This window comes from Homo sapiens, chromosome 6, assembly GCF_000001405.40.
Source record: "Homo sapiens chromosome 6, GRCh38.p14 Primary Assembly".
NCBI classification, from domain to species: domain Eukaryota; kingdom Metazoa; phylum Chordata; class Mammalia; order Primates; family Hominidae; genus Homo; species Homo sapiens.
Genome location: NC_000006.12, coordinates 14719420 through 14746325, shown reverse-complemented (window position 1 = coordinate 14746325; position 26906 = coordinate 14719420). Strand labels below are relative to the sequence as shown.

Sequence of the window (26906 nt, the reverse complement as noted above, 5' to 3'; positions counted from 1 at the left end):
ATAATTGTTGTCCTGTATCTGAGCCAGGAAATTGACATTGGTACAATGCATGTGCATAGTTCTATGCCATTTTATTGCATGTGTAGATGCAACAAGATACAGAACTATTTAATCACCACAAAGATCTCCCTCATTGTAACCCCTTTATAATCATATTCTACTCACCATTCCTAGCCCCATGGCAACCATTAATCTGTTCTGCAGTCTATAATTTGTCATTTGGAGAATGCTATCTAATTGGTATTGCATAGTATATGATACATTGAGACTGGCTTTATAAAATTCAGCATAATGCCCTTGAATTCTACCCAAGTTATTTTGTGTATCAATAGTTCACTCCTTTTTATTGCTGAGTAGTATTTCATAGTATGGATGAGCCACCATTTACCTATTGAAGGACATTTTGGTTGTTTCCAGGTTTCGGCACACACATAATCTTTTTCCTTTTTAAAGATCTTTTTCCTCTAGGTTGCTGCTTTCTAAAAGGAACTTTCAGGAAAAGAAAAACTTTTGGGGGAGGAGGATTTACCCATTGGTTCTTTTGCCTAATTAAGGGTTAGGTTCAACCCACAGTGATTGGCAATGTAAATAAACTATTAATATTTTCTTTTCAGAAACAGCCTTGCTTTTGACATCCTGTTCCAATTCTTGGTTGTCAGTAAATGCCCTCCCTGCTTGTCTTGTTTGTCAGTGAATACGTTAAATTTGACCTCTGTGGAGGTGTTCCAATATAAATTTTGATCACGAACAAAAATCAGGTTTAGTTATTTTAAGTTAGGATGTTAATTTAAAGTGACTACATTGTTACAAGAGCTTTGGTGCCTGTTCAGGAGATCCTTAAAGTTATTTCTGGCAAAATGTATTGAAACTAGGGGACTTTAGAACTCAGACCTCAAGGGAAACAGGACAAGCTGAGTTTTAGCTGTTTGACTGGAAGGCTGGGTCAGCAAGCAGCCTCTGCTTAAAAAAAAAAAAACACATGCTCATTTTCCAAATGAGTTTAGGCTCAATATTTTGTTAACCCTGCATATGTTTGAGAGGGAACTCCTGAGCGCTGGCTGGCTGAGCTGGTTTTATCTTGGTTCTAGTAAATTAGTAGATTGGCCTGACATTTTTGGCATGCAGTAATGAAGGTTGTCATAGGTTTCCTTTCTGTGAGCAACTTGGCTTCCTATTATGTTTGAAGATTTCACATATTTGCATAAACTGAAGTTGAGGTGATTATATGGGAGAGAAATAAAAGTGCAAATATTTAAATATTACAGGATATTTTAGAGTCTTTTAGGGTAAAAAGGGGATTTAATATATGTGAAATGGAAGTTTGCACTGGCACATTAAGACTTTCTCTCTCTCTCTCTCTCGCCCAGACTGGAATACAGTGGCATGATCATGGCTCACTGCAGCCTCAACTTCCCTGGCTCAAGGGATCCTTCTGCCTCAGCCTCCTCCGTACTGGGACTACAGGCATGCACCACTGCGTATGGTTAAATTTTTTTTTTTTTTTTTTTTTTTTTTTTTTTGAGATAGAGTCTCTCTCTGTTGCCCAGGCTGGAGTGCAGTGGCACGATCTTGGCTCACTGCAACCTCCACCTCCTGGGTTCAAGCAATTCTCCTGCCTCAGTCTCCCGAGTAGCTGTGTTTACAGGCACATGCCACCACGCCCGGCTAATTTTTGCATTTTTAGTAGAGATGGGGTTTCGCCATGTTGGCCAAGCTGGTCGCAAACTCCTGGGCTCAAGCAATCCTCCCTCCTTGGCCTCCCAAAGTGCTGGGTTTACAGGTGTGAGGCACTGCCCCTGGCCGCCTTCTTTTTTTTAAAGTCCTCAAGAAATTAGAAATTTTGATAATGAAAACAATAATCAGAATCTTTTCTATTTTATGAAATTTCTAGGTCTTTGCTTTGCTGGTAACATTCAATTAACATCTTTGTGAAAGTAAGATTGCCCCTCCAATGCCCCCAGCCTCCTATTCCCCACTTCCGATTTCCACTGCTCCTTAATGTGTGGGAGATGATAATGCCTTGTATACATATAACTTATGCCTGGAGGAACAGAAAACAGTTTGAACACTTTGTCTAATGAGTCCCTAGTTTTCCTCAAGGTAGGCGGAGGAAGGTGAGCTGCACATGGGCCCAGTGGATCTCTGCGTGACAAGCACTGAGTCACCAAGTGAGTCACTGGTGAGGCGGGAGGGAGTGGTCCACCCAGGCTAGCATTCTCAGGCTAGCGCTCTCAGAATGTTTTCACAATATCCCAAGGTCTCCACAAGTGTTTCATGAGGTTACTGTAAGATTCATGTATCTCACAATCAAATCAGAATGAATTCGAAACAACAAAGCAAAAAGACAAAACCACAACCATTTGGGGAGGATTTCTTAGGACACCTTAGAGAACAGATCATTCTAGGGCAGTGTTGTAGCTCAGGAAACTTTGAGACACAACTCTTTTTATCCACCTTCCTTCTTTCTCTTTCCTTCCCCCTTCTCTCCTTTCTTTCTCAATTTCTGATGGGCCCAATCCTGGAACGAGGCCATTTAGGGAGACGAAGTGGGGAAGTACAGCAGCTCTGTTTTCAAGAGAAGTTACTGGTCAACATTCTTGGCCTTCTTTAGCAATACCATGAGCCCACTCTCATCTCACTCTCCTCTCACTATTACTATCATCTAATAATCAGAATTCTTTATTAATCAGTCTATTTTGAACATCTGCTATGTGACAACTGATTACTGCCAATGATGACTCAGGAGTGAAACATTTTCAACTGGCTCTGGATGATTGAAATCCAGATTTTACTGGGTGTTGGTGTTCATGCTAATCCTGGGAAAAGTGAGAACCCCCATGACGTGACTAGCCATGGTAGCAGTCTAATAAACAACGTCTCTCATTTGCTGGTGTTTGTGGATCATGGAGTTCCCAGTTCCAGTACTTCCTAGGCAGTGAGACTTCTAACCATTGAGCCATCTGGAGGCCTGCTGGGACCTGGCCATTAGTGTACAAAACATTGAAGCAATGGTGAAGATGTGGGAGAGCAAGTGATCAAAGCTGAGAAGCAAGACAAAGTGACAGGAACTAACATCTATTGAGCATCTAGTGAGTGCTAAGTATTGGGCTACGGGCTTTAGTGCATGTGGTCTCATTTGTCACTGAGAAATGACAACTGACCAGTGACAGAATCCTCACCAGAAAAGGTCTCAGGTAATGTGGTTTCAGAAGAAACCAGTATGGGTTAGGGTGCTTACACTGGCAATTCATAGAAAATGTAAAAACTTTCCTAAGTGATAAGGACACTTGTTGGCTCAGGAGAGGAGAGGCCAGTGGCTTATTGATGCTTGTAAGCCCCCAGGTTACCTCTATCTCTGCCTATGAGGGTTCACTCGCTCCTGGGGCTTGCTGTCTTTGTGAGCATAGAATGGTTGCCAACACATTAATGCTAGTGCTCCCTTATCTGTGTCCAGAGAGTGCGAGTGAGTGAGAGAGAGCGGGTTTCTAGTACTTCTTCCGGAAAAGCAATGTACCTCCTTCCTAGAAGCCTCTTAGCCATCCCATCTTGTTGCCTAGAACTGGGTGACACGGCCAATCTTCAACTCTAATAAGGAGGATGGAATTACCTTTACAGGTTTAGACTACCAAGGGGGTACTCTGGGAGTTAAGAGTGGGGTCAGTGGGCAACTTGGAAGCAAGGTGTATTCAAATGGAAATCTTGCTTTTGGTAAGAAGGAGCAAGCCCTGAGCTATACAGAAGTGAAATCAGGTTCTATGCAATGATATTTAGAAAGAAATTCATCAAAAAGATGTAAACAATTTCTGCTTTTACAGGGGAAAACAACAATTACCTGGGTTGTTCACTCAAATTTCACTCCTAAGCTCCAGATATATTTGGTAACCTTATGCATTTTAAATACAACAAATCCAAGATGGCAGCCGTCACTGCTTTGTTCTACCTCATCAAATGTGCTCTTCCTACTGGGTTCTCCGGTTTGTTCAATGACACCACCCAAGCATAGACACCCAAGCAACAAATTAAAACCCTTTCTGCCAAACTCTTATACCTGGATATGCCAGGGTGTCTCTGAAGTTATTTGTCATAAAGGGACAAAGCCTAGTTGGCAAAGCCAATGTTGATATCAACATATTTGGAATCACCTTCAAGCATGTTTCAACGTGTCTATGACTACCTGTCTTTTATGTAGATTTTATTTTATTTGGGCCAACTGCAGCATCTAGAACACATGACCTCAAGTAAGCAAGTTTAGTCCTTGCATTTTTCTTCTGGGGCTAACCTGTGCCTGTGAGAGAGACAGCTAAAGTTAAAGGCACATGCCTGGCTGCATGCTGAAAGGAGCAAGAGTTTCACCTGGTGGTAGCAAGATCGCTCTGGGGGCAGGTGGTGGTGAGTGTTGGCCGAACTTCAGAAATTTTCTGTAGTTGTAACTGATTTTGCCTGGTTGTGCTGTGAGTGCCACACAGTGTTGTGCACATCTCTGGATGTAAATGTGGAATTTTAAAACTTTGCTATCTGGCTTTAGTCAACCTAAAACATGGACTTTTTTAGCCAGGCGCTACCCCGGCTCACCAGACAGGTTTGCCACAGGGAAAAAAAAAATGAAGTGTAAGTTTGGCTTCAATTTACTTACAGACCATAACATAGACCCTCAGAATATGCTTTTGGTTTTTCTTGGTTGCTGTTTATTGCTGTATTAATTCCCTAGGGCTGCCATAACAAATTACTAAAAACTGATGGCTTAAACAACAGAAATTTATTGTGCCACAGTTCTGGAGGCTGGAAGTCTGAAATCACGCTCCCTCCAAAGGTTCTGAGGGAGGATCCTTTCATCATTTTCCAGCTTCTGGTGGCTCCCGTGTTCCTGAGACTATTCTGTTTTCAGCCTCCATCTTCACATAACCTTCTCTGTTTCTCCTTCTTCTGTCTCTCATAAAGACACTTATGGACACTGGATTTAGGGCCCACCTCAATAATCCAGGGTAATCTCATCTCATCTCTTAATTACGTCTGTAAAGACCATTTACCCAAATAAGGTCACATATACAGATTCCAGGATGTGGACCTATATTTTTGGGGCCATGATGAAACTCACTAGAGTTGCCATGCTTCTCCTGAGATCATGAATATTGAGACATTCAGCACGGTTCGTGGCTTCCAAATCCAAGGATCGGTGCCACCGCTCAGAAGAGCTGCTTCAAGGAAGGTGAGTCTCAAACATCCAAAATGGCAGGCTGTATCCCTCATAATCGTCTTGTTTCCTTGTTGTTTTAGTTATCACCTGGAGAGCTGTACATGCACAAGAAATAACTTTTGGGAGATCCCAGTGAGTAGCCACCAAGTTCCTTAGATTGTATCTTCTAAATCTCTGAGTCCATCATACCCTTCATTGCCACCACCACTGCTTTATTGAATCCCCATCATTTCTTCCCTGGATTATGCCTTTACATTTCCCCTGCCTTCTCTTCAGCTCCCTTTCTCCACATTGCTTTCTGGCAGATGTTGTAATCTGGTGTTACCTGCCTAGTGCTTGGTAGCTTTCCCTTGTGCCTCCAGGCCCATCCTTCTCCACTCTGTCTTCTTCTTCCAAAGCTCTATTGCCCTGTGGCTTCTGGCTGGGTTTGGTCAATGGGGAGCATTGGTGAGATGGGAAAGATGGAGTGGTGAGGGGGCATTTACCTCCCTAACGTTTTCCCTGGGGGTCACTGCTGGCTGGCTGCATCTCTCAACTGATGCTGACAGCTTCCATCAGATGCCTTCTTCACATGTCTTTCTCCTCCAAGCTTTAGTACCCATTTCTTTCTTTACCCTTCCAAACCTAAGGATGGCAACAGTGCCCTCTGTGGTTTCCCTACCTTGCCCACACCTTTAAACATAATTCCTTTATAAACTCTTCTTGGTGTGGTGGCTCACGCCTGTACAAAGTGCTAGCACTTTGGGAGGCCGAGGTGGGTGGATTGCCTGAGCTCAGGAGTTCGAGACGGGCCTGGGGAACACGGTGAAAGCCCATCTCTACTAAAAATATAAAAAATTAGCTGGGTGTGGCAGCGTGCACCTGTAATCCCAGCTACTCGGGAGGCTGAGGCAGGAGAATCGCTTGAACCTGGGAGGCGGAGATTGTAGTGAGCCGAGATTACACCATTGCACTCCAGCCTGGGCGACAGTCTCAAAAGAACCAAAACCAAACAAACAAAACGTGTCTTAAATTACCGATTTCAATGTGCCATATGTTTCTTGACTGGACCATGACTAATACATCCATGCTTAAAGCATGTCACTGGCTCCATCTTGCCCAGAGGGCAAATGCATTAGCCCATGCTGGGGAACAAGGCTCCGGCCTTGCTTCCAGACTTAGTATTTCCTGACACACCCACGGTACTCCTGCATGCTGATGGACTTTTGGTTTTCTGTACTTGCTGTGGAGATTTTATAAGTGATGTTTTCTTTCCTGATTTATCTGCCTGGGCCTTTTCCATCCTTCAAGATTCTGCTGGAAGATTACCTGTTGCCTGTTGTTTTGTTGACCTCCCTAGGCAGGGCTAGCTGCTTCCTCCTCTGTGCTCCCACATCGATTATATAAGTCCATTACAGTGCTATTCACTGCGACAAGTGTTTGTTTGTGTGTCCGTTTTCCTTCTGGTCGCTGAACCCTTGACTGTATACCTGACTATATCCCATTTTTCTTTGTTCTCCAAGTGCCTGTTGTTTTCTCAGGTAGGATTAATAAATATTTTGTGAATGAATACACTTGTTTTATGGACTACATTATTTCTCACCTTTTCATATCAACAAGATTGCAGCAATAAAATGTCATCTTCATCTATGCAACTGTGCATGCTGTTTTGTGTCTTGATGAGTATTATTTTATCCTTATGACAACTCAGAGAGATTGAGTAGATGGGAAGCAAATTTTCCCGTCATGTAGATTGTTACTGGCAGAACTTTGCCAAGAATCTAGACCTTTTGATACTGATTTGCTCTTCTTTTCATGAGACCATTTTGCCTCCTGAGATGCCAGATTTTAAAAAAACAACAGAGCCCAGGAGCAGGCTAACCTAATGAGCACCACCCCAAGGACCACTTCAGATGGAAGGCAACTCAGGCTGCCATAGAGATAACTCCAAGTAATTATAAACACATGTCAGGAAGACCGAAGAGAGAGAGCTTGTTGTCAGAAGGGTTCTAACGAACAGAGCTGGTCACATTACCGGAACCTAACTTGCTGTTGCGAGAGAATTATGTCTGATGTAGGCTCCAGGGACTATCAACAGAACATAACACTTGGATTAAAATTAGGAATGAACATCAAAAAGAAGTATTCCGGGACCCTGGGGAAGGGCTGGCAACCCATGGAGGAAGGAGTGGATTGTTTCTATAATTCAAGCCATATCCCATGAGAAAGTAATATATAGGCAGCAGCACAAATAAAGATAAATTCAAGAGCATTTGGGGCAATTTCTGTTATGTCAATAGAAGGCTTATAGGTTCTTCCCTCTGCCTTAGGGGAAGGAGCATTAAGTTGAAAGCGCTGCCAATACAATGTAGCTCACTTGTGAGGAACATTCACAGAGATAACTATCAGAGAATTTCAGGAGGAGAAGGGGTCTTAAAGGTCATCTGATGCTAGGCCTTGTACTTTTGGATCATTTCCAAGGGGAAGGAAAAAAATGAGACCTGAATACTCCAATTGAGTGAGGGTCAAGACAGACCAAGTTTTGGATGTGGCACATAGGTATTACCTGACATGATCTTTGCAATGCTGTTCGGTCTCAGCATGTCTGTGCAATCCCTGTGGGTCTGTGTCATGACCTCATAAGCCATCATGACAGACCCTCGATGAACTGGAACACCCGTTACTTGCTTGAATTTCTCCCTATGTTCTCCAGTGAAGACAGAGGCGAGTTAAAAAGAAATAAAGGCAATAAAGAAAATACATTTCCATGTATCCAGCTTTATCTTTTAAACCTTTGATGTTGGTGTTCTCAGTCTTAATATGTTTCTGTCTTTTGGCCTGATGTGTTTCTTTTTGGGAATTTATCTCAGTGATACAATAAGAATTGTAGACGAAGATCTGGAAACAAATGACATGAAGATGCTTATGATATAAACCAGAAAAGCAACATACAAAGTATATGGTAAAATCTCTGCCTGATTGTTTGAAAACCTTTCTCTCTCTGCCTAGATATGTATCTCTATAAATAGAAAAATACCAGAAAGGAAACCATCAAAATGTTAATTATGGTTATATTGGGGTGGTGGGATTATAGGTGTATTTTATTTTCTCCTTGTACTTAATTGTACTCCCAAACTTTATGAATATAAATTAGAAAATAACTTTATAAACAGTATTGAAAATCCTTCTCTGACTTTGCCCTGATTTCCAAGACAAAATCCAGACCCTTCAGCTCAGCAAGTGGAGTTCTTTTGGATCTGGCTGCCCACTCTCCTGTCCCATCTCTCCCCACTCCCCTCCCCTTGCCCTGCCTTGCAGCCATGCTGAAGCTCTCGTAGTTTTCCTAAAGCCGGATGCTCCTTGAAGGTCCCATTGGTGTTTTTTCTGCCTAGGACACTTTGCTCTCCTTGTCAGTATTTGCACACTCCAGAACACCCCGGCTGCTCCCGTTTTAGAAAGTCTCCTGTAGTGGATGCTGTGGTTTGCTGTCCCATCTCCTATTCAGGCGCAGGGTGCCCTTTTCCCCAGTGCTAGGGTGCTGCCTGCTGCAGGCTCATACATGGATCCCTCTCCCAGAATTGCCCTTGGTCCAAGGCAGCAGCTGTGTCTGAGGTTATGACCCTCCCCCTTGTGGGACTGCCCACATCTAAGGAGTAGTGAATGCAGGGTACCACGATCTGACTCCCTTGTCTCAATTCGTGTCCCCTCAGAAAGGTTATTCCAGCTTCAGAGCTGACTTCCTGTGGGATCCGCCGAGGCCTCTTTGGCGACCGCATCTCTCACTCTGCCCAGTCCTGTCTCCTTCACTTTCTTACAAGTGAGCACTGATCCAGGACACCTCTTGCACACAAATCTGTCTCTGTTTCTTGGGGAATGTAACTGAGTACCCGTCCTATGACCCCTTACCTCAGTCCCTAAGTTAGAGTCCCATCCTCTGGGCTATTGATTGCTCTTTGTTAATTTCTCCTTAAGCACTTCTCCCATTGCACTCTTGCAGAGCATGGTCCTAGCGTCTCCCCCAGTGACCGGGATCTCCCTGAGGGTAGGAGGCAGTACGTTGTTTTTCTTTGTGTCTGCAGCACCATTCCCAGTGCTTGGCTTTTGGTACATGGTGAATGAGCAAGTGTGAAAGGGGATCACATAGTAGGCAGAATAGCATGGGGAAGAGGGTGAACTACGGATTTGAATGAGAGCGTTATTGACAAAAATGAAATAATACAGGCTCTTCTATATCTTCCAATTGAAGGGACATTCCTATTGAACCTTTCTATGTATACACCCATAAACAAGGCTCTCACTTTGAGGTCCCATGCAGTTCCTGTCACTTTAAGCACCTTGGGAAATTCCAGTGAGTTGAAAGAATTCTGAACTTTATTTTTCCTCTTGTCCTGTATTCGTAAGACTGGTCTTCCTTTGCTCTCCCCTTCCTTCATTCTTTCTTCTCCTCCCCTTCCTTCATTCTTTGTTCTCCCCTTCCTTTTTTTCTCACCATTTTTTCCATCTAGGTCGAGGACTAGTTTGTTGCCCAGGGAATTACAAAAAAGTGGTGGCCAAGGACTAATCCTCTAGTAGTCTTATTCTTCAAGAAGTTGAAGAAAAAGTCGAGTGCCCTTTCAATTCCTACCCTTCTCTGATTTATCACTCTGAAAGTAATGATGTTCAGCTTTCTTGCTCTAGAGGAATGATTCAGGTAAAGCCCCACTGAGGGCAAAAGGTAATCTGTACCAGGTTTCAGAGTTACCAGTGTAATCAATCAAAATGTGTCATTAAGCCCCTGGCTGCGTGTTCTCCAAATGGAGTCAGTAACACCCAACCCTTAAGCTTATGGGTTAGGGGGACCTCCCCACCCCTCCCTTCTGTTTCACTTTGATGGGGTCCACCTTGGATAAACTCTCTGGTGCTAAAAAAGTACTGAGAAGTGACAGAAAGTTGCTTCACATCTACTCTATTTTTCAAGAAAAACATTACTATTTTCTCTGAATATGGAACCACCCCAGTGCTTCTGTGAAGTGGAGCTGGGTTATTCAGAGGCCCTTTCTGGTTTTATCTTGTCTTTCACACACTTGGCAGGACAGGTATTCTGATCTCCAGTGCATAACTGAGGACAGAGCACATGGAGGGCAAGAGACCTTGAATAACTATAGAGCTGCTTAACTCAGCACTGGGATAGGAATTCAGGACTCCCTACTCAAGGTCTGTGCCTCTAGCACTAGTCCACACCAAGGGCATTTCCTTAACGGTGGAGATTTTCTTCATGAGTACATTCATTCCCCTCAGACTTAAAAGTTGTCACAAATCCCAAAACTATACAAAGCATGAGCATGGCATTGGTGGCTGTGTGTGTGTGTGTGTGTGTGTGTGTGTGTGTGTGTGTGTATGTGCGCTGGGGGCAAGGGACCTCAACCCCACAGAGACTTAGCCTTACCTGTTGTAGGTAGCTGATGGGAACATTTGTTCCCTGCTGTCCTTGTTTCTATTGGGGACATGTTTCCATTGAGTAAATCCCCTGGCCGCCTGCATCCTCTCTCTCCTTCACTTCATTGGAGGAAGAGGAACTTCAGTCGGCCTGGGAGAAGCAATGGAAGATGTACGCCTCACCTATTCCTTTCTCTCTGGGAAGAGCCTGAGGAAAGTAAACATCCTCTGCCCCTCCAAGCCTTAACTTTTAAGTGGTAAATCTCCATGTTGCAAAGTTTCTGTTTGCCATCAGTGGTACAATATTAACAAGCCCAAGGACCTGAAATGATAGCCACCAACCAAGACTTTGTCAACTTAAAAGAATGGTGATATTTTCCCTCTATCTGCCTGATTCCTATTCCTCTTAATTGGCTCAGAAGTTGGGCAGGAAAGAGGGGTCCTATTTATTGGGTACCCTAAAACCCCAACATAAGGGAAGTCTTTTCTGGTTTCCTCTGGGAAACCTTAGGTTCAACAGTGGCCTGTTGTGGATAAAGATCTACTCTTGGGGGTGACCAAGGATTTGGGGGCAGGAATTTGGAATGAGAACCCAGGCAAGCTGAACTAAAATGCTAACTGGGCAAGGGTGTCCTGTCTCCAGTTTGATGACCAAGGGAAGGTCCTGACTCACTTGGGGCTTATGAAGGGTAACAAGGGGGACTTCTCAGTAAATCAACCACTCACTCTTCATGTGACAGTAAAAGCAGTCATGGAACAAACAAACTTCCTGCCAAGGCTCCTTCTTGTTACCGCAAACTTTCAAGTGTGAGTAACCATGTGAGCAAGGGGGAACCCAATAATTACTAGAATAATTCCTTTGTGTGTGCTGAAGTTCAGTTCATATCTGACCTCCCCAGCCAAAAGTAATCTCTCTTCTCCAGACTTCTACGTCCAGTATCTGGAACTTGCATTTGAGACTTACTATTCCTGACTGGCTTTATTATTTGCTTAGTCATTGTGGTGGTGGTTCTTGCTTTTTGTGCATTTTATCTCCAGTCCCAAAGATTTTAAGTTTATTAGGCATAAGGACCATGTCGTATATCTCCTTGTATTTTCCCTGACCATTCAAGGGCCTAGCATAACATTTACTTGCATTTGGAAGTGTGGAAATAAATGAAGACCAACCAAATAAGAATAAGCACAGGCTGTTTATTCAGAGCTACTATCGTTTGTGTTTTGGCAGAGACTCAAATGCGGGCAGAGGAGTGGGAAAACTTCATAGTAGAAAAAAGGGAGGCTCCAGGTATGTGCTGATTGGAGGCTGTTGGTGTGGGAAGCTGGAGGTGGTTCACTAGAAGCACAGATGCCTATGTGATTGCTTAGGGTGCATATTTGCCTTTCTCTGGTTTGTCCTAAGTTGGAAGCAGGGACAAAAATCAGGGAGGCTGTCCATTGTCAGTCAAGTTCTGGCCATTTGGAGCTGATTCTTACAGGGGTTATTGTTTGGCTTCCTAACTTGTTGATAGAGATAGTGGTTAGACTTCTAGAGGTCTGGCTGATGATAGCAGGCTGGCTTCCTGGGCCGATTGCTGTTGCTAATGGGTTGGTGTCCTGGGCTGGCTGCTGTAGATTGTAGGTTGGAGTTGTTTTTAATTATGGCTTGGCCGTTGTCCATTTGTATATTCAGTCTCTTGGTGAGTATCAATAAATCTTGCTTGATTAACTAATAGATTGTTCTGACTATGGGTTGAAGCATGCCCTTTGAATTAATATTATTTCTCTTTCTCCTCACTGCTTGATCAACTGTTTGACAGGTATTCTCCATTTGATTTTTATAACATGACCTTAGAAATAGCGCAAGGGAGAAGGAAACTTGCTCCATTTTTGCTCCTTTTCTTAATTACCTCTTTACAGACCCTATCTCCGAATAGAGTTACTGTCTGAGGCTCTAAGGGTTAGGGCTTCAACATTTGAAGTTTGGGAGGCAGTGGGGCATAATTCCCCATCATACTCTTTGAGGGCCTCATTTAACTGAATATGCTCAGATCTATCTCAACTCAAACACACTCTGAGCCTTTGGCCTGGATGCATCCAAAAGAAGTGAGTAGAATGCTCAGGTGGCCTGTGACTTGCCGTGATTCACTGACCAAACACGAAGGAAGTGGAGCAGATGGTCACGCCATTAGAAGGCAGTCTCTCCTCAGGGAAGTCAGTCTCGTGGATTCCAGTGGCCCTGAGAATCACGATGCTAGTCTTCAAAAGAATAAGAAAGACCGATAAAAGATTGCTTCTGCTCTAAGTTGAAAGTGGCTTATGGCAGCTTCTCTCACCCCATTGACCAAGCCCATTCGCTAAAGCCCGTAACAAAAGGATTTTCCCCCCTAACATTTAGAAATGGCAAAAAGCAAAGAGATGAATCATCAAATAGGCAGAACGCTCTTCCTACACCTCTTTTACCTGAGCAAAAACATGACTTCCTGAAAGAGTACAAAGAGAGAAAATTGGTAGGAGATGACTAACAGGGGTGACTGTGCTGATGCAAAGAATGTCAGGACAGCATGAACTTTAGAAACAGGCAAGGTTAGATGCTGAAACGGAGGCGGGTGAGCACACTCCCTCAGGAAATCAAACTCAGGGAGAACCGTGAATAAAAGGCTCCCCAGAAAAGACGTGAGTGTGTAACTTACTTGACATTTCCACCAACGTGCAGCAGTGGGTTGGGTATGATGGTTCTAAATACCCAGTGACACATATTTACAAAAGAACTGTGTGGTTTTATTTTAAATGACAATGTCTTCTTAATCACCCCTCCGTACTGCCTGTCTGCAGCACTGCGAGTCACCAGGGTTCTGTCTTGGAGGAGCACTGTTTGGTCATGAGTCGTGTGCTGGCAATGTCTGGGAAGTGAGGGAGGGTCAGCAGCTCATGACCGTAGGCTCCAGGGAGAGCAGGAAGCTCTGCAGGATGCATGTGTTATGGGTTGAACTGTGTCCCCTAGAAAGATATGTTGAAGTCCCCACCCCCAGTACCTTGAAATGTGACCTCATTTGGAAATAAGGTCATTACAGATGTAATCAGTTAAGACAAGGTCATATCGGGGTAGGATGGGCCCTTAATCCAATATAACTGGTGTCCTTAAAAGGGAACTTTAGACACTGAGACAGAGACATACAGAAAGAATGCCATATGATAACAGAGGCAGAGATTGGAATTGTGAACCCCAAACATCTGAGACAGGTCTCAGTCAATTTAGGGTTTATTTTGCCAAAGTGAAGGACTTGCCTGTGACACAGCCTCAGGAGATCCTGACAACATGTGCCCAGTGTGGTCGGAGTACAGCCTGGTTTTGTACATTTTAGGGAGACATGAGACATCAATCAATATATGTAAGATGTACATTGGTTTGGTCTGGAAGGGCTGGACAACTCAAAGCAGGGAGGGGGCTTTCAGGTCATAGGTAGATAAGAGACAAACGGTTGCATTCTTTTGAGTTTCTGATTAGCCTTCCCAAAGGAGGCAAGGAAATTCCTTGTGGACAAATTGTAAGGGAGGTACGTAGCTCTTTTATCTTAGTAGCTATCTTTTAAAGAATAGAATGGGAGGCAGTTTTGCTCTAAGAAGTTTCCAGCTTGACTTTTCCCTTTGGCTTAGTGATTTTGGGGTCCTGAGATTTATTTTCCTTTCACAGAATAATGCATTTGTAGTCCAAACGTTGCCAGCAGACACCAGAAGCTAGAAGAAACAAAGAAAGGGTTCTCTTCTACAGATTTCTGAGGGAGCAAGTGCCTGACACCTTGATGTCAGAACTCAAGCCTCCAAAAGTGTGAGAACATAAACGGTTGTTGTTTTAAGCCCCCCAATCTATGTTACTTTGTAAAGGCAGCCCTAGCAAAGGAATACAGCCCATCATACATTGTGGTGAGCCCAGAGCTTCACACCACACATTTCCTGCTCTGTGCCTTCTAAAGTATATTTTTCAAAGGTCTTCACTTTCAGAAACTTGACCTTTTTCCAATTTTAAAAAATGATACAAGACCTTATTGTCTTCTACCCTCTTACCTCAACATATTGCACAAAGGCTGCACAGATCAGAGCTGGAAACTGTCTACCTGTTTTCCATGGTGACATCCTCTGTAGTCTCAGCTTATCACTGACGACCTTGGGCGAGTCTTGAGGCCTCCGTCTCTTCATTTGTAAAATGAGAGACTGGAACTAAAGCAACTTTAGCCTGAAACATTGGTAACCATGACTCCTCTTTTTCTTCACTGGTTTTTTAGACTCCAAGATGATGATTAAGGTGGGCCCTAATCCAATCTGACTGGTGTCCTCGTAAGAAGAGAAGATGAGGACACAGACAAACACAGAGGGAAGACTGTGTGAGGGCACAGGGAGAAAATGACTCTCTACAACAAGGAGAGAGGCTTCAGAATAAACCAATTCTGCTGACACCTCTCAAACTTCTAGCCTCCAGAAGAGTGAGGAAATCCATTTCTGTTGTATAAGCCACCCAGTTTGTGGTGTTTATTATGGCGGCCCTAGCAAGGGAATACAGAGGGAGACAGGTTCAGACATGTAAAGCGAGCCTTTAAAAGACACCACGTGCACCAGTGGAGCCCCAGGCCCAGGCCCCACAGACCTTGCCTCCTGGTCCAGTCCTTACTTTATCTCAGGATGTGACATTGCGTTTCTTATGGAAAAGATCTCACTAACCTACTTCATTTAGGAATGCAATTTAATTGGCAACTCAACGGTGATGTCGCTTCTTTTGCCATTTTTCTGCAACACCAAAGGAAAAAATTTTAAGCCAGCTTTTTTTAGCTGCAAAGATGACAAATGTTATCAACAATATCCAACCAGAGTATATTTTCATCCCTTTTCATCCCGTCACGATAAGCCAGAAGTATTTGTTGCCAGAAATGGAAAACAGCTTGTTCATCAGCCAGATGATCGCAGTGCTCAGAAGTTCCACTCGTTTGCCATGTGTGAAAAGTTAAGAATTGAAAACAGACAGGCTTGCTCTGCTTAAACCGTGAGTTCTGTGAAGCAAGAGAAAGAGAAATTTGGATACTAGGAGAAGAGTTGTGAGATGGTTTCGACGGCAAAGTGAACAGGGCCTTTTCACATTATTCTGAGATGGGACCTCTGGGTTGATTTGATAGTGGATATGACTGTTCTCTAATTGGCTAGAAGATGAGTCTAAAGTTACCAACCACCGGAGGATACTTTTGTGTTCTAGAACAAATTCCAATGTCCTACACAAATGTGATGCTGGGGACTTCTCTGTTACCTGACACCAAATTTCCTAGACATTTCCATTATACTTCCTCTTCCTGATTATCTTGAGTGGGAAATCTCCATGAGTTCTTAGTAGAAGGCAGAAGTATACAGTGGACCTGGGCCTTCATTAGAAACCATGAGACTTCAAATGAGAGCCTGAATTATTCCTTTATGTTTTCATTTATGTGAGAAAATAAGGGATATTGTTGACTTTTTATGAGATTAAGTTACCCAGTTATCCATCCTATTATTATAAGTTTTAGTGTTTGCAAAGAGATTTCTGATCGTTTTTATTAGTCTCTTTGTAATAGCTTCAGGGACTTTTTGACAAAAGAGAGAACCATTTTAAGCAGTAGAAATGTAGGCTTACAGAGGTCAAATGGTTAATTTGAGATTGCCCAGCAAAACAAAACAATACGAAAAAGAACACCTGAAGAAAAATCAAGATTCATACTCTGGGCTGTAATTACCATTCTGTAGGTTTCCGGAAGCTCATATAGTCACATTACATTTTGTTCATGTCGTTAGAAATCATTTGCAGTTCAACACTTAGATTCCCTCCTGTGTTTGATTTGCAAGGTCTTGGAAGTTAACTTGAACTCAAGGATTTGTCTACCTAAGAGAGGCAAATAGAAAAACCCCTAAAGCCACCTGACCTGATTCTTCTTTGTTAAGACCAGCTCAGAATAGAGTGAAATAAGCAAGCTGCAGAAAGACAATGCTACGTTGAGTTCCACTTCCTCTTGATAAATTCAGAACAGCCAGTCCATCTTAAGGGTGGATGTTTTTAGCAGCAGGGAGTGGTAGTTGGATGGAGGCAAGCGGATGGAAAGGAGGAGAGAGGAGAAGAGAGACAAACTCAGGTGCCCCAGAAAAGTCCACTTTCTCCGTCCCCATTCAGGCCACCTTCATCTTCCCCCACCCTCTGCTGGCCTTTCTGGGGGCTCAGGTTTTGAGCTGACTGAGCCCTCAGCGGGAGACCACAACGCATTTTCAGATGAAAGGACAACCCTGAAGGTACCTATTACATGTCTGTGAGCAGAGAAACAAAGGCCCGGCTGCTGACACCCTCCCACTAACTTGAGTTTTAATGGTAGGTTTGATTTCCTCACGCTTAGCTGAAAGAAAGGGAAAAAACTAAGCGGAAAGAACGAGGGTGTGGGTATCTGTGGTGGTGGGGAAACGACAGCTGTTGTATTCATGGTTAATCAGGTGTGTCTGGCTTTGTGTCGCATCTGTCTGCTACTGTTGCCAGGCCACATGTGAAAGGGAACCGAGGGGAAGGGGCCATTCATGTTCAAAGCCAGTAGCACTGACCTCTGCCTCGTTCTCTTCAGGGTAGGAAAGCTTGTCTATTTAACTTTCCCTATTATAGGAAGCTGTAATTCTACTCTATTAGCCCACCCTAACCATTTTGGCCTGACAAATGCAAGCTGCATCCAGAATGCCATAAATCTGCATGGGAAGGAGTCCTCCTCCCTCCTTCCCATTTTTTTCCTTTGGGGTTCGGTTCGATTTGTCAAACAAGAGAAAACCAGCAAGAGAGAGAAAAATGAGAACTCAGGGCATCTTGGTTCACCTTCCATCTTAAATGGGCCTAGGGACCGAGATGGGGGCTGGGAGGCACCCCAAGGTCAAGCCTGGAGCACTGGTTCCCCCTCCAGATCTGTTTATCTCACGAGTCCCACATGCGTGTGGTGATTGCGTCAGACCTTAGTCATCTCCCTGGCACCAAATCCTCCTCCTGGATCCTTGATCCCCCTCCTCCTTCTCTGCCCACATACAGAGGGACCATGATGGAGGAGGGGAGGCTTCTGGCTTCTCCTGGAGCCAGGCCTGTGTTCTAGATATTGCTGGCCCAGGCCTGCCAGGCACGACTCTCCTCTCTGGCATATGGAGAAACAGCTGAAATGGAAACAACCCCCAATGCACCACATTGCACTAAAGCTTAGCGTCAGAGTTCAAAGGACTACTCCAATTGGAGATCAAACTGATCCCTCCCACTGTGGCCTTTTTTGAGGGGGTCCATCACAACCCTTCGGGGGTGCTTTTCTCCAGCACTTCCGCTTCAGGGCCAGCCCTTGTGTTTCTTGGAGTAAATGATTGCTGTCAGCATTTCCAACACCATGGAGTTCTGGCTCCAACTTTGGCTTCCTGGAGAATGGGCCATCATAGACTTATTACAGGGTTCAGAAGAGCTTGCCATCTGCAATCTATTTTAGTTGTCACTGCCTCTTAAAATAGGCACTAACTTTTATCCCATCACATTAATTCCTCTCATGTTGAGGCTAGAGTCGAGCTTTTGGGGTGTGTGTATGCACGTAACTATCTTTTTAAAATCAGAAGGGTTATTTTCCTAAGACATGGGTTATCAGCAGCACAGCTGAGTTTCCTCTTTCTACTGGCCTGTGCTGATGAAGTTGGTTGCGTTATTGACCTGCAGCTTTGGGGTCAGAATGCTTTTGGTTCCCTGATGTAGAAGGACATTGCAAAACTATCCCAGTGCCCTGTGCACTGTCTTTCTCTCTCTGATACTCCCCAGATCTCCAAATTTTAATGGTGTCAATAGACATAACTCATGCTCCTGCTAGAAGCCTAGCACCCTGCTAGGCTCTGTGAGGACTTTGAGAATTTGTCATCTTGTGAGACGCCATGAATAATGCAAGAAATAGCAAAACAGGTCTGAAAATGAAGTCTAACTAAAAAGTGTACAAATCCTAAGTGTACAGCTCTATGAATTATTACTAAGTGAATATGCTCACGTAACCATCACCTAGATTAAGAAACAGAACATTACCGCCACTGGAAACTTCTTAAAGTTCTACCTAGGTGGACACCTTGTTATATCTAAAACAATTCTACAACGTGATTGGGAGTGAGATTTAGTTCTTAATTATGTGGCTATGGAAATGTAGATTTTGAAAGGTTCCCATTGGCTGGAAGAGATTTGCCCATGGGAAGATTTTGAGTATGCCCTGGGCTGGCCTGCTGAAGTTGAACTTTAGAGAACCCGGGCGGGCTGGCTGTGCAATGCTCTTGGCTCCAGAGAAGGACATGCAAGATTCTGGCATCCTTTTTAAAAAAATTGTGGTAAAATATACATAACATAAAATTAATCATTGTAATCATTTTTAAGTGTGCAGCTCAGCAGTGTTAAGTACAGATTGTTGCGCAATGATCACCACCATCCATCCCCAGAGCTCTTTCATCTTGAAAAACGGAAACTCAATACCCATTAAACAGCAACTCCCTATTTCCCTCCACCCCCATACCCGGTAACTACCATTCTACTTTCTGTCTTTCTGAATTTGACTACTGTAGGTACCTCACAGAAGTAGAATCATGCCATATTTGTCTTTTTGAGACCGTTTTATTTCACTGAGCGTAATGTCCTCAAGGTTCATCCATGTCATGGCATGTGTCAGAATTCCCTTCCTTTTTAAGGCTGAATAATATTCCACTGTACATGTGTACCACATTTAGTTTACTCATTCATCCATCCAGGGACTCTTGGGTCACTGCCACCTTTTGGCTCCTGCAAATAATGCTGCTTTGAACATGGGTGTACAAATTACCCTTATGCACCTTTCCATTCTTTTGGGTGTATACCTAAAAGTGGGATTGCTGGATCATATGGTAATTGTATCTTTAGTTTTGGAGGAATTACTATATCATTTGCTGTAGCAGCTCACTATTCTGGAATCCTTTTCACCTGGACCATTTCCTCCTGACCAGCCTCCTGGATGGCATTAGAGGGAGCCTGACACGTGGATTGAGGTGGTGGCAATAGTGAGGATGGTGGTCTGTACTCTGTATGTGCCCGTTGTTGGGAATCTAGAGCAAATGGGGCAGGATGGAGTGTGACACCACAATCCATGGTGGAAACTTGAGAGTTCACTGAATAGAGGGGGAGGAATTTATTTATTTACTTATTTTTATTTTTGAGACAGGGTCTTGCTCTGTCACTTAGGCTGGCATGCAGTGGTGCAACATAGCTCACTGCAGCCTTGAACTCCTGGGCTCAAGAGATGTTTCCACCTCAGTCTCCTGAGCAACTGAGACGACAGGCCCACATCACCACACCTAGCTATTTAAAAAAATTATTTTTATTTTGTAGAGATGGGGTCTCATTATGTTGCCCAAGCTGCTCTTGGTCTCAAACTCTTGAGCTCAAGTGATGCTCCCACCTTCAGCCTCCCAAAGTGCTAGATTTACAGACGTGAGCCACTGTGCCCAGTCTGTGGGAATAGTTCATTTTGCACAAAGATAAATGCTTTTCCCCCTAATTTGTGGGAGACTGAGGTTAAAGGAGTCCTTAATAACCAGGTATTCAGAGGCCTTCTGCCTGTTCAGTGTATCACCTCCAGATTTTTGGGGGGCCTTTAGGCGTAAGTGTTGAGATATTTATAGAACAGATTATGAGCTTTTAAATAGATTACCTAAAAAAAAAGAAGAAGAGAGAGAGTGAGGGAAATGGTAGCCAGTAAACCAACTGAGGAAGGCACACACCTTTTGCCTGATAGGGATGTCGAGGAGAGGGATGCCACTTGAATACGAAGGTCGTTCTTGGGCTCACGGGTGCAGTCGTTTGGGTTTAGTGCTGGCTGCTGATGCCAGAAGCACTCAGTATTGAACATTCAGGGGCTTCTTCAAACAATTTTAAGTATTTCTGTTTTCTAAATCTTGATGCTTTATTGCTAGGGATAAGCTCACATTAATATCCACTGGAAGGAAGAACTATGAGGATCACCAGGGTGAGGACCTTTAGAACTGAAGAAGGACACATTATTATTGCTAAAAGAATATCTGCTTCTTCCCAGTTCCTTCCCTTTGGCCTTCTCCCATTTCATTATAGGAAAAAAAAGCTCCATGAAATTACATATTGTTTTCTTAAATTTAAAAGATACGTATGGCTGCCACCTAAAGTCTGTCAAGGAAAAAAAATGTCCTACCCCAAATGGTAACCATTATTTAACAGTTGTTTTATTTTCTTCCAAAACGCTCTGTATATATTCACTGTGCTTTTGAGGCAGCACAGTTTAGTTCTAATTACTTACAACCCAAACACCACCAATTATAAAAATATACAGATACTACCCGTATGCAACTCTTTACCATTATAAACTACTTTCACATATAATTGAACCTTATCAAAATTGAAATTAGTAGTAGTCTTTTTTTTTTTTTTTTTGAGAGGGAGTCTGGCACTGTTGCCCAGGCTGGAGTGCAGTGGTGTGATCTTGGCTCTTGGCTCACTTCAACCTCTGCCTTCCGGGTTCAAGCGATTCTCCTGCCTCAGCCTCCTGAGTAGCTGGGATTACAGGCATGCGCCACCATGTCTGGCTAATTTTTGTATTTTTAGTAGAGACTGAGTTTTGTCATGTTGGCCAGGCTGGTCTCAAACTCCCAACCTCAGATGATCTACCTGCCTTGGCCTCTGAAGTGCTGGGACTACAGGTGTAAGCCACCAAGCTTGGCTGAAATTGGTATTATTCTTATTTAATAGAAAGGAGAGGCAGGGGAGATTAAGACACTTGTTCAAATTTACACCACATGTTAGAAAATGGAGTTGGGACAAGAATCCAAGTCATTGAAGTAAACTGTAGGTCCACAAGCCTTTCTCCTCCACCATAGAATCTGGAGTGAACATTGGAGGCCAAAGTGCCTTACAGAAATACTTAAAGGAGCTACCAAGTCACTGGCTTCATAAAGCTGACTAATCTTCATGTGTCCATGGTGTCAGTTTATGAAACCCTTTATCTTATACGAGGAGGCACACTGGACTCACTAAGAATTGCAATGAGAATTGAGTTTATTGGAATAGGTATAACCTCAATAGAATCATAGAGAAGACAACTGAGAACCTGGAAAACATTTTTAGTATTCATGAGTGTGTTGGCACCAGCTTATTTATAAAGTTGTTTTGACAACGTGTGTGCCTTAAACTTCTATTTATAAGAAGTAAAATGGAATCATCTTCTTACCCTGCTGAGTTGCAAATTCTGTTTTAGGGCAAATTTTTAATCTGCCTCTTTAATATAGAGCAATAGATATATTTTTTTTCCTGCTGAGTTTATTTTTTCAAGTACATAAGTTAATTAAGAACCATTTACCTGAAGATATGTTTTCTTCCTTATGAAGTACATAATGAGAACATGGCCACAGATGTTAGGTAGTGACAGAAATGCCTGTCTGGAAGGTGAATTCTTTAAATTTTTTTTATCTCACAATAGCTGTATAGAGAATTGTTGATGGTTCATGTTTTATTTCCCTTTGTTATAAAATTTTCATAGTTTGCAAAAATAAAAGTTATGGGCTATGTGTCCTTTATTTGATACTCCCTGTGAGAAAGGGTAAGATAGAAGATTCAGTAATGGCCAGTGTTGGTGGAAGAGACTGCTGCTTGTAACCAGTAGAGAGGAACGGGGGGTGGGGAAGTTTACTTCAGCACTGTATTGATTAGAATTAGATTCTTCTTTATAGGAGACAGAAATATCTTATATAAGTGGCATAAAAATATGAAAGTAAATGTGTCTTTTACATAAAAGAAATTCAGAGTTGCAGTCTATGGCTGGTATGGTTCCTCCATGAGGTTTTCAGATACTCAGTTTCCTTCTAGTTCATTAATCTGTCATTCTTAGGTTATAGCTTTTGTCTTTATTGTCTTCATGATTCAAGATGGCTGCTAGAGCTCCAGCCATCATTCCTTCCTTCCTTCTTTCCTTCCTTCATTTCTTTCTTTCCTTCTTTCCTTCTTTCTCTCTTTCTCTCTCCTTCCTTCCTTCCTTCCCCCCTTCCTTCCTTCCTTCTTTCTTTCATTCTTTTGTTCTTTCTTGCTCTCTCACCCAGACTGGAGTGCAGTGGCACAATCACAGCTCACTACAGCCTCTAACTCCTGGGCTTAAGTGATCCTCCTGCCTCAGCTTCTCGAGTAGCTGAGGCTACAGTTGCACAGTACTATGCCTGGCTAATTTTTAAATTCTTTGTAGAGAGAGGGTCTTGCTTGGTTTCCTGGGCTGGTCTTGAAATCCTGGCCTTGATCTCCTGCCTTGGCCTCCCAAAGTTGCTAGGATTACGGATATGAGCCACTGCACCTGGCTCATGTGTGTGTGTGTGTGTGTGTGTGTTTTTACAGAGGAACTTCCTAGAAATTCCACACAATACTTCTGCTTATGTTGTATTGTCCAGAACCTAGTCATATGGCCACATTTACCTGCCAGGTAGGCTGGGAAATATATGTTGTGGATGGCAATAAGCTGAAATAAAAATTGAAGTTCTGTTATTGAAAAGGGGAAAAATGGATTTTTTTTTCCAGGAAGAACTTTTTATTAATATAAAGTTTTAAGATATTCACCAGTCAGATCTAAACTTACTCATTAAACTCTATTTTTAAAAAATGAACACACTGTACTGCAGTGAAAGGCAGGAACGTGGTTTTAGACACTGATTGAAAACCAGTGTCTTCACGCACTGAGAACAGGAAACATTCTGCACTGCGAACGAAGTGCACAGTCAACAGGAAGACACACACACACGACAGAAAGCCCCCAGTGTGAGTGACCGTGTACCTGGGCAGGTGACAGGATGCCCAGGCCGTGGCTTGGACATGGCTGCCACGCTGCGATGCCTGCTGGGCCCCACAAGGACTGGGGACACACACAGAGCCCAGCTATACACTGTGATAGAGTCCACCCATTTTGCTACCCTATACCCATGTGCACTGTTCTCCTACCTTCCTGCTACCTGGATTGTGATTGTAAGGCCTGGATTCCAAGATGTTAACTTGATAATAAAAGCCACACACAATAGAACAGTAAGATGCAAGGCACATGCATCCCTGGCACTGTGGAGCTGTGGACAGACTAGCTCTAGATTTCCACGTGAGAGAGAAATACCTCTCTATTTTGATTAAACCATTTTGCTAGAGTTTTGATGGTTGCAGCTGAGCCTAATCTTAACAGATACAAGCATAATATAAACTTATAAAATAGTGTTCTTTTTAAGATTGTGTCTTACTTTGCCTACCAATGCAGGTGGACTGACCATCTGCCTATCCAGCCTGGCCTACCATGTGATACTAGGTATACGAAGTTGGCTCAGAAGTTAATTTCACTCACGGGAGCTTCTGTTCTAGGAAGAACAAACAAACCAATGCAGTAAAGGGACTCCCATTGCTTTAATGGAAATCTGTATAAAAGAGAGTGGTGCCCAGAGATATTTGCTATATGCTCTACTGCCATCTTAGACTAGGAAAAACCAAAACCAAAACAATGCTGACCATAGCATATTTTTTTCATCATTGACATTATCTTTATATTAATCACTTGTAATTATTCCTTGAATATACAAAATCTGACTATTGGTTTTTGTTTATATTGAGAGAATGATGACATCAGATTAAACATTAATTTTCCCTTGAGAATCTTTCAATACAATTGGAGTAGAATTTTTTTTTTTTGAGACAGGGTCTTGCTGTGCCACCCAGGCTGGGGTGCAGTGGGGCAATCATGGCTCACTGCAGCCTCAACCTCCTGGGCTCAGGTGATCCTCTTGCCTCAGCCTCCTAAGTAGCTGGTACCACACGCGTGCACCACCACACCTGACAAATATTGGAAAATTATTTATAGAGATGAGGTCTCCCTATGTTGTTCAGACTGGTCTCAAACTCCTGAACTCAAGCGCTCCTCTTGCCTCGGACTCTTAAAGTGCTGAGATTGCAGGTGTGAGCCACTGCACCCAGCCTGGAGCAGAATATTTTTACATAAAACTAAAGAGAGGTTGGCGACTTATAATCGTGTTCAGGAGGTAGCAAATGTTTTACTTAGGTGAGAAGAAATATACTTTTCGTGTTGTCATAGAGTAAGCCCAATCCTTATTTACTTTTGTTACCATTGGCATGACAACAATCATTGGAGCATCTTTGTCTTCCAAACATTTCTTATATTATTTACTTTTTCATAGCAACTTAAAACGGAAGATCATAGAGTTTAGGTGACTTGCCCTAGGACACGCCCTTGGAAAATAGTAGAGCCAGAATTTGAATTCAGTTCTGGGTCTCTTTTTTTTTTTTGAATTCCATTCATGTGTTGATAATAGCTGCTATGGAGACTTAGCCAGGAAAGCAGATGTGGATGGTTAGCGGAAGCTAAAGAGGAAAAAGGTTAAGCTTTTTTTTTGAAGTTTTCCTGCTCAGCTAGGAAAACATTGCTGCAGTTATCAGGTAATTGAAGTGTCAACGTGACGCTGTCAGAAAGGTTGGATGAATTTGTTCCTGTTGGCCTATATTTGGCTGTTAAGTGAGTTGCACAATTGCAGTTTTCAGGTTAAGAAACTCTCTGGCAGTCGTGGGAGTTCCTCTTTAGAAGCAACTCTGCTAACATGCAAAATCAATGTCACTGAAGATTTTGCTTATGTTACTGCCTCCAACACTGTTTGATCCTTACATAAAAGAGACATTTGTCATTTGACAGGACTAAGACTGGGAAAGGTTGTGGAGGCTTCCCCCAGCTGTGGTGCACAAATATCTACACATTCTGTCTGCTTAAGTTTCTTTGGAATGTTTTCATTGCAAAGGCTGGGTCACTGAGGGGGCCTGCCCTTGCCCTTTGACCTTGGTAAATTACTGCCCCCAGTCCTGATGAGTTTGCAGGACAAACTTCCATCATCTTCCCAACCTTGGCAATGAGGGAGAAGGCTGGACCTCCCTGGCTTTGTTTTAATCCATTTTCACCTCCCTTTTCTTTTTCTTTCTCTTAATTCTTGTTGTTCTTCCTTTGAGTGACTACCAGCCCCTATGTAACTCTTTCTCTTTTTTTTCTACCCCTCTATCTTGGCTGCCACTCAACTTCAAAGCTCACTTCAGCAGGAGAAATGTGTGAGTTGTATGGAAATGCTGCCCTCTGGACTTTCAGTATTTTAACCCCCGGACTTGATTCAACTGCTTCCCAAATGATTGGAAAGAAATATCCCAAGCCCAGAACTGGAGAAACCCTTTTTTTTTCAGTGACCAAATAGATTTTGGTGTTGTGCCTATGTACCTTTGATCAATTCATATTTCCAATTTGGGGACATGCTTTTTCTAAAGACAAGTGTCTTTCACTTAGAGGAACTTAGCTGATGGATGACTTGTACAGATCCAATTAGTCTTGTTTCAGATTATAGGCATTCAGAAAGAGGTATCTTTTAATGGTTTTTTGGGACCGTGGGAATTTTGTTACAATATCTGTCACATCTTCCAGTAAAAAAGTGATAGCAATTTTTTTCTCTTTGGAGGTCTTTTTAAAATGCCTTCTTTCCTCATTGCTACAGATATGTTCTTGCATAAATCTTTGAAGCAAGCCAATGTCTTCTAGAATCTCATTAAATTTCATGACTTTCCATTCCTTGTGTTGAAAATATATTCCATTTTTTACATAACATTTTAAACATTATCCCTTAAAAAGGTAAAGGATGTTCATAGGGAATCAGAAAGTTTGTAAAACACAAATAATAAAAATTAAAATAATCCATAATGATAAAATTGTCACGTTTTATCCTGTTTATTTTGCTTAGAGAGTGATAGAGCCTTTGTTGGGTGATCATACACTTGTTATTGTTACTGAAGAGTGTGGGGTTCTGGTAAGCATGTTCTGAGAAAGAGAGAGATATTTTGTTTTTCTCTAAAGTGCTTGGATCTTCTATGAGTTGATTTACACTAGCATTTATCATTTTTGTCACTTGTCAGACATCAACAATTCAAGTGGTTGGCATTCAAAGTTGTGTCTAAGAAAGCAGTGTTCAACCATTGTGTTCCACTCTGGGTATGAAAAGGAATTTGCTAGCTAATAACAGAGTATCACAGTTTTGAATAATTTACTTTGTTGATAAATTACAATATATTTTAGAGTGTGCTTCCATAACAATGCTGTTTTTAGATTCTTGCATTCTGATCTGCTTTCTTGAGTGGGAGAGGAAGGAAGGGGCGGGTATACACTTGGCCCACGCGTATGCCCATGGGGCCATATTATTTGTGACTATCATGTAGGCTGTTTGCTGGGTCAGCGGAGAGACAGTGGTCGGC

General features: G+C 42.8%; 5 annotated features.

Annotated features, from left to right (window-relative positions):
• Positions 2016 to 3215: an enhancer, noted in NCBI's record as "P300/CBP strongly-dependent group 1 enhancer chr6:14743342-14744541 (GRCh37/hg19 assembly coordinates)". NCBI's record gives its function as "activates an origin of replication core promoter dependent on BRD2, BRD4, P300/CBP, MED14 and CDK7 cofactors, with strong dependence on P300/CBP, by STARR-seq in HCT116 cells {active_cell/tissue: HCT116}" and the evidence as "EXISTENCE:reporter gene assay evidence [ECO:0000049][PMID:35650434]".
• Positions 9925 to 10004: a silencer, noted in NCBI's record as "silent region_16945". NCBI's record gives its function as "represses an Ori minimal core promoter by ATAC-STARR-seq in GM12878 lymphoblastoid cells {active_cell/tissue: GM12878}" and the evidence as "EXISTENCE:reporter gene assay evidence [ECO:0000049][PMID:35858748]".
• Positions 12278 to 13477: an enhancer, noted in NCBI's record as "P300/CBP strongly-dependent group 1 enhancer chr6:14733080-14734279 (GRCh37/hg19 assembly coordinates)". NCBI's record gives its function as "activates an origin of replication core promoter dependent on BRD2, BRD4, P300/CBP, MED14 and CDK7 cofactors, with strong dependence on P300/CBP, by STARR-seq in HCT116 cells {active_cell/tissue: HCT116}" and the evidence as "EXISTENCE:reporter gene assay evidence [ECO:0000049][PMID:35650434]".
• Positions 13317 to 13436: an enhancer, noted in NCBI's record as "active region_24055". NCBI's record gives its function as "activates an Ori minimal core promoter by ATAC-STARR-seq in GM12878 lymphoblastoid cells {active_cell/tissue: GM12878}" and the evidence as "EXISTENCE:reporter gene assay evidence [ECO:0000049][PMID:35858748]".
• Positions 14700 to 15899: an enhancer, noted in NCBI's record as "BRD4-independent group 4 enhancer chr6:14730658-14731857 (GRCh37/hg19 assembly coordinates)". NCBI's record gives its function as "activates an origin of replication core promoter dependent on BRD2, P300/CBP, MED14 and CDK7 cofactors, and independent of BRD4, by STARR-seq in HCT116 cells {active_cell/tissue: HCT116}" and the evidence as "EXISTENCE:reporter gene assay evidence [ECO:0000049][PMID:35650434]".